This window comes from Homo sapiens, chromosome 9 (genome assembly GCF_000001405.40).
Source record: "Homo sapiens chromosome 9, GRCh38.p14 Primary Assembly".
Taxonomy (NCBI): Eukaryota; Metazoa; Chordata; class Mammalia; order Primates; family Hominidae; genus Homo; species Homo sapiens.
Window position 1 is genome coordinate 16,324,839 of NC_000009.12, and position 7,971 is coordinate 16,332,809.

General features: G+C 49.4%; 1 annotated feature.

Moving 5' to 3' along the window:
- Nucleotides 4,611-5,170: an enhancer, noted in NCBI's record as "H3K4me1 hESC enhancer chr9:16329447-16330006 (GRCh37/hg19 assembly coordinates)". NCBI's record gives its function as "activates a minimal SCP1, AML or CMV promoter by ChIP-STARR-seq in naive H9 embryonic stem cells {active_cell/tissue: H9 hESC(naive)}" and the evidence as "EXISTENCE:reporter gene assay evidence [ECO:0000049][PMID:30033119]".

A 7,971-nucleotide genomic window follows, 5' to 3' on the forward strand; every position in this document is an offset into this window, starting at 1 on the left:
TGCTATCATTTTTTAGTGTTAACTTTTAAGAGATTAACACTTGACATATTCACAGAAATACAACAGAGTGTAATTGTATCATTTACAATGCAAGACAGAATTTATTTTTAAATTTACATATTGAATGATATGACACCATATTCAAGGTAATATAGTACATAGGATGCAACTTTAAAACGGTGCAATGAATGCTTCTTCCAGTTCTGCCAGTACAGCCTCATATTTTCTTGTAGATAACACACGGGTCTGGAGCTGAGGCCCGCTCTGATAGGCACTACCATGGGGAAGGGACTTTGGCTGCTGGAGAGGTGGGTGGAACACAACGGCATGGGGGTTTAGTGAGACCAGCCTCCCTTTCCCCGCTCCCTTGATGTTCCCCCAACCCCCACCTCTCCTCTCTTCAGCCTAATCTCCATGTGGCTGGCCAGTGAGTTTTTAAAAAATGCGAACCCGACTGTGTCAGTCCTGTCTGTGAAACGTCCAGGGCCTCACATCACCACAGGCACAGCTAAGCGGTGGCTTCCAAAATGTCCACTTTTATGCCCACAAAGCCTTTGATATTGCTGCCTTCAGACAGCGGAGCCTAATTTACAGAATAGACTGTGGTCCATGTGATGGCGGGTGACATCTGGGATCAGGACATAAGGCACAGCCTCATGGAGGCTCAGCCCCATCATGTCCTTTGTCCCTGTTTCAGTCCAGGATCTGCAGGCCACCCCTCCCTGGACCCGCCATCTGCACGTGGCTCTGCACATGCCCTGGTCTGATTCTGTCTCCCACCCGTCCCCAGCTCTGGAACTGCAGGCGCTCCTGGCCTGTCCTCAGCAGATGCCCCTCGGCACTCAAGTCCTTCTTCCGCTTTCCCTTCTCTTATTCACTCAACTTTTTAATGCTGGCCTCAACCCACTAAATTAACTTCACCACCAGCTAATAGGTCATGACCCACCATTTGAGAACCAGATGCATGATATAAAGAATGGGGTTTTGTGGGATTTGTTTTTCATTTCTTCACTGATGCAGGATCTCACTTGTGGGCAAGAGAGCCGAGGTGCTCCAGGACTTGCTCAGAATGAGCCCAAAGGCAGAGAAGGAGGGCACCTTTTCTTCCCGCCATCTGTACATGGGGTCACAAACACAAATGCCCACAAGGGCCAGCTAGGTGATGTCCCAGAGGAAACCAGGAGGATGTAAATCTGTTCTCAAAGAACAGGCCCCGACACTAGGCCTCACTGTCCAGGACTGCTGGGACCAAGGTGAACCAAGCAGCGCATTTCCTGGCAGCACACAGCAGCCACGGCTCCACAACACTCTCAGTGGGCTGCTGTGCACCTGCCTCTACCATTGCCCAGCTGTGCGTTTGGACAAGTCACTTGCCCCACTCTGTGCCTGTGGTTTCCTCAAATGGAAATAGTAATAGTCTATTACGCTAAACTCTGATAAAGCTGTTTTGAGCATTGCGTGATAGGATACAGAAATGTATGTGAAACCACACCTGCCAATAGTTACTCTGGCTAGGTTCAGCTGATAGTGGGCATGCAGATTTATTATTGCCATATCTCACTTTGTTAAGAGAAGCCGAGAAATCCAAGTTTTTATGGTGAATCTTCTGATTTTGAAGCATTCATGGTTTTTTAAGCACTGTGCAGGTTAAGCAAAATCTGTCTGCAGCCGGCTGGGCCCACATCTGCTCTGCTGCCTTAGGTTCCATGCCAGCCTCCTTGGGACTGTGGTGGAGCGCCCCCACCTCTCCCACCTGCCCTACCTCAGCTGGTCTCTGGAGGAGAAAGGATGCCGGTGGGGAAGGAGGGTGGCTGGGAGAAGGAGGGGAAAGGAAAGCCCATGCATCTGGGCGGCGACTTCTGCTCTGGAAACGCTGATCTGCCAGCCCAAGTGACGGATGTATTGAGTTCGTTTCTGCAGGTAATTGTTTAAATGTTACGGCAGCTTTAACATGTCGTCTGTTCAAATGTATTGGTGAGGCAGCCATTCCAAACCTGTAATGTGGGTAATATTTAGATGATTTACTAGGTGAGGTGCATTTTCTGATTCAATCAGAGTTGCATTTGATTCAATAGGTGATGCATCTAATCTGACTGGGAGTCCAATGGATCCAGAGGTGATGCGTTTGATTCACGGGCTGATCTACCTGATTTAGAAGGTGATGGATCTGGGTCCACGCTGAATGATTCCAATTCCCCCATGCCGGGTATTTGCTTCAGTGTGTGATGTATGAGCTTTAATAATAAGACACACTTTTGGGATGGAGAGGGCTGCCTGACATGTTTGTGGCTGCAGCCACTTCTAGGCAGAGCCAGTCCTGGCCTATAGGACCAGAGGTACAAAGTGGGAGAAAAGCCCAGTTCCCCATGTGTGACCTGAGCCTCCACATGTCCCCATAACAGCCATTCTTCTATGATCCATAGGTGGCCTTCTGTCTGTCCAGTTGGAGGTCCACAGATGGGCTCTGTGCTGGGAACCTGGTTCTTTGCATGTGGGGGCCTTAGGGATGGACTTGTCATTTGAAAGATATTCACTCTGCCCATTCTGTTCTTGTCTGCCCCAAGTTCCTTGAGCCTCACCTGACATTTCAGGGCCCCTCCATGGAAGCCTTCCCCAGGTCTGGTGCACAGGTTTGAACCAGCATTAGAGGGACTGAATTGTTGTATTCCAGTGGGAGGCAAACGGAAGGGTGTTCCCTGAATTAGTTTTCAGCCCCTCCCTCCTCTTCTGTTCCCCCCCTGGTGTGGGTGGGAATTCCCTTCAGAGAAGAGCTCCTTCTGTTTGTATTCTCTCCTCTGCCTGGAATGCCTGTCTTCCTTATCCTCAGCTTTATAAAAAGCTGTGCACCCTGTGCAAAGTCGCAGCCTCCTGTCACTCCCCCTAACAGAAGCCACCCTGCACTGAACCTCAGTTCAGCCTAGTAAGAGCAACCCCTCTTCCAGCTATCTGAGTCTTCCGGCCATATCTGTATGATAACACATCACTCGAGTTGTCCTATGATGGGGAGGTTTCTTCTTCACCCTGCTATCCCCTGAAATGGCTCAGCCCTTGACAGATGGCAGACATGTAACCTTGGAAGAGGGAGTGGAGTGAACAGTAATGAAATAATTTGCGTTTATTGAGCTCCAAGTATGTTGTAAGTGTTCCAAGTGTAAAGTGCTGATACTGTCTAGGGTTCACGTCTTTATGTCTTTCAATCCTCACAACAAACCATATGTGGTAAGAATGCTTATTTCCTCCATTTGTACAGTTGGAAAACTGAGGCTCGGTGAAGTTAAACGACTTCCCCCAGGGTTTCACTTTGGCAGAATTTGATTTGAATCTAGGTCTCTCAGGCCCTAAAGCAGAGCTGTTAATTGTTACATCATTATCCGACCTCCTAGGACCAGATAGACTTCTCCATCCTAGCCCAGGTCAGGGAGGACAGAGTCCCTACTGACGCACAGGTGCCCTCAGGGAGACAGAATCATGACACAAGGCAGAATGGCTTGATTGGTAAACTGAGGCACAAGGGGGCGGTAGATGAGGGAGTAACTAGGGAAGGCTTCCTGGAGGAGGCATTTGATCTAGCCCTGGATGAAAAGAAGAAGAAAAATGGGGCCTTCAGATGTGCTAATGCCCATTTTCAGCCACTCTTGGCCCAGCGCCCTAGTCCTCAGACTGCCCTTAAGTCAGGGGAATCAAAGAAGCTGAGTCTGCAACAATTTGTCTTTTGGGTGACTGTTTCCCCACTAGGAGCTATGTGTGGTCAAAAGTGGAGTCTAGGCCAGCACTACAGACCAGAGTGAGCAGTGATCTCCCCGCCACCCAAAAGAGATGAGTCAGCTACCACCACCCTTCAATGCAGAGGAAAACTCAACTGAGCCCCAAGATCAGGCTGAGTACTGGACATTCCTCCAGCAAAGGCCCAGATGCAGGTCATATCTCCTGCTCTCTCCTCCAGCATTTAATCCACAATTCTCCTCCTCCCATTCCTCTCCCTGTCTTGAGTCCCCAGAACCCTCATCCCCCTTCAGGGATGGGCCCATCATGAGATGCTCTTATCTGGATAGTGCCATTTTTGGAGGACAGCCTTATCATGTTCAACCTGCTCCTGCCCAAGCCTCTAGCAGTCTCGGTCTGAGGAGAAGCCAAGGTGTTGAGTTTAAGACAGGGATCTGCTTCCAAGGACCTAGACCACCTCCCTGCTCCAGTCCACAGAGCTGGCCTCCTGATTCTTGGGGTGGGGCCCAGGAATAAGGCTCGCTCCAAGCCCTCCACTACAGTGTGACAATTCCTGTGTTAGGCCATATGTGGGTGAGGGGCTCAGCACTAGAGGTCTGAGACTCCCCTAGTTTCCAACTATTCCCACACCTCAGCTCCCTCCTCCTCGTTTCTCTTCATTCCAAGACCCCAAGAAAGCAAATCTGACTGGTTCAGGGCAGCCTATGAGTTGGCACCTCTAGGCAGAGGGGACGCCACAGCACAGTAGGCTATGGTCAGGGAGTCCAGGCCTTAGTACTCTAGGTTTTTGCAGGCCCAAGAGATCTGGGGGATTTAATGGACATCTCTGAAAAGCAGGACTTTACTGGCCACGTGCTGTGTGCCAGATTCCTCCATGTTCTTGATCTCATTTTATCCATTCAACCCTGTATTCCAGGCCCATTTTACAGAGAGAAGGTTGAGGCTTGGAAAGGCATGGGGGCTTACCCAGGGACAAGCATTTGAAGAACAAACAAAGGGAGTGATATGTGTCAACCCCAAGGCTTAGTTACTTTCTCTCTCTGTCTCTCTCTCATCTCTCTGATGGGGGGCTGTCAGGCACCGTGACAGACTGGTGTGGGAGATATTTGGATCAAGCACATCCTTGTGTCCTCTAATCTCACCACCCAGGCAGCGGCCAACTCTAGCATAAGGCTGGTGATGGGCCAGACAGACGGATTCCTTGGAGGCTGGATGCAGAACAGCTGCCTGCACTACTTCTGCTGCTTCTAGAGGCCACAGTGGCCCTGACTGCACACATTTTCCCAGGCTGCGGCCGCAAGTGGGGGGTCCTCAGACACAGACAAAGGAATAGCTCAGCCTTGCAAATGGCTTTGAAAATGGGACCACGGGGATTCCACTTGGCTGACACACTCTGCCCTGGCCCAGGCCTCATCCCCCAGAGGCATCCCCAGCCCCTGCCGACCAGCTGTGTCTCCCACTGCCGCCCACACCAAAGGCCTGACCACACGGAAATGGCTGCTCAGCCCAGAATTCCCCCATCACACCCCTTCCCACGCAGGGTGGGGCAGGAGGCAGGGATAGTGGCAGCAGGGACTCTGGGGGCTGACCCTCCACTGACATTGGACATTGGCCCTCTGACCCTCACTGGGCACCCACCATGGACTAAACCCCTCATGAGTCAAGCAGGATGTTCAAATGGGACTTGCCTGTCATTCCCATTTCAGATGAGACCTTGATTCTGAGACAGAGGGTGTTAATGCACCCACATGGTAACTCGGGGTGTCAAACCACCTGTGCCAAACCTGCTAAGGGGTGACCACAAAAGATCCAGCAGTTAGCACAGCAGCCTTCTAACTGGGCACCCCTGGGGACACATGGAGACTTTCCCAAGAATACGCAGCATACACAGTGTTAGGGACATCACTTTCCAGCCCCTCCAATCTAGGCATTCTTTTCTAAAATCAATTTGTCTGAGCATAAACTGATGGTCTCCAGTTTTCCTACAAAACAAAGAAAGGTTTTACCCATCTTGAATCTGGCTGCGCTAGATCTCCCCTGGATATAAAATCCTCAGGGCAGCAAACATAGGACTCTAAGAAAAAGTCCAGTAAAAATCCAAGCAAAAAATATTTATCATGAGCGACAAGCTCGTTGCAAAACTCTGCACCTCCCCTGCCTGCCTATGTGTCTTTCTTTGGATCAGAATACAAATGTTTCAAGTATATATAAAAATGTATATTCATAGTGAAAAGTGAAATCAGAATCTTCCCTTTTTTATAAAAAGTTCTGATTTAGCTGTTTGGTTTGGCCAATGATGTGATACAGTGGATATCTCCTATAAATTGAATGGCCCAAATCTAAAGCTTCAGGATTCTAAATATTTAAAGCACATATATCATATTATGTCATAGTCAATACACCAGAAGTCATGTTTTCTTGGTAACTAAACTTATAATGAAAATTTTTTCAATGTCAACTAACGCTCAAGAGGCTGACTAGTTTTCCAAAATCCTTTTAGGAGGTCCTCAAACAACAAATTTGAAGATCATTCCCTTAGTCCACACATATTCTCCAAGGCAGAGAAGAGGACTGATCAGTAGTGACTGATGGAAACAATTTCCTTGGCGGGAGAGTCATTAGCAATGCTGCTCTTGTTCCTGGGCCAGGAAGAGAGAGGTTCCCCTAACTCCAGCCAGATGAGGGGGCCTTCAAGGGAACCATACATACAGAATTAGAAAGTTTCTCATGAGGAGAAAGTGACCGCAGCCCTCTGGCCAGATGCTTTCTGAGCTATACCAGTCTGTGCCTTGGTGTCACCAGTAATGAAAGGCTCTGTTAATAGAGCCTGTCATGAATCCCCTGGAGTGGGGAACACTGGGCTGATGCTGGACTCTTACTTAGAGAATTCTCAAGATGAGTGACTGGAGAAACATAGTCCAAAGCAGGAGACAGAGAGAAGGTGACGACGGGAACAAGCTGTGCTTCCACCAAAGGCAGAAAGAGGACACAGGCAATTTTCTTTGGACCAAGCAGACCTACAAAAGCCAGCAGGTTTGATTTTGTCTTGATCAAGGTTTCCAGACAAGAGGACTTTCTGGCAGGGGCAAGACAGCCCCCACAAACGCGGTTGGAGGCGGTCCAGAGAATGTAGAGGTGGGAGGGTTATCAGATATCAAGAAGAGACTGTCTCCCATGCCAAGGAAAAGCAGAGCAGAGGGCCCCAGGAGGATCCACAAAAGCTCATCACAAGAAAAGGAGCTTGCCCCGGCCTGGGGTGCCCAGGGCCAGATTACGAGAGGCCAGGCAAGAAACACCTTCTCTGCCATTTGTCTCTTGTCCCCTGCTCCAACCTGGAGGCTGCACAAACTCCATAGTCAGTAGAAAAGGAAAGCAAAGGGAAAGCAGCAAAGAAGTCAACCACAGCCCCTTGCCCTGAATCGGTGCTAGGCTGGGAATAGGGGAAGCCCTTAAATTGGGTGAGAGAGTGTAGCTTTGGTATTAGATGGGACTGGACTTTTTAACATTTATTTTGAAAGTAATATTAGAGGGAAGTAACTGCTATAGATTGTTTTTGTTCCTCCCCAAATTCAAATGTTGAAACCCCCAGTGTAATGGTGTTTGGAAGTGAGGCCTCTGTGAGATGACTGGGTTGTAAGGGTTGAGCCCCCATAAGTGAGAGTAGTGCCCTTATAAACGGGACCCGGGAGAGCTCCCTCCCCACTTCTGCCATGCAAGGACACCACAAGAACCAGCTGCTGGCATCTTGATCTTGGACTTCCCAGCCTCCAGAACTGTGAGAAATAAATTCTATCATTTATAAGCTGTCCAGTCTGTTATTCTGTTATGGACACCTGATTGAACTAAGACAGTGACCAAGAAATCTACCAAAGCTGAACCATTGCCCAGGGTGGAGGGAGGACAGACAGTGGTGAAACTACATGAAGTCATAGGTGATTTTTTTTGCTTTCTCTGCTCGCTTCCGATAGAGTCAGACCTACCAGGGAGCTGGAGGGGAGCAGTCAGCCTGGAAGCTCATGGTCAGGCTCCAGAGCAGGCACCAATAGAGACAAACCCCTTCGGGTGATGGGAGGCAGAGGAGCAGGGCAGGTGGTCAGCACTAGGGGAAGACTATGATGTGAGAGGCAGAGAGTCCCTGACAGAGCAACACACATTAGCTGGACAGTACATGGGAGAGCCACCATGTGGAGCAAGAAATGCTTCTGCCAGTGTCTTCACCTGCCCCCCAACAAGACCCAGTTCAGCAGG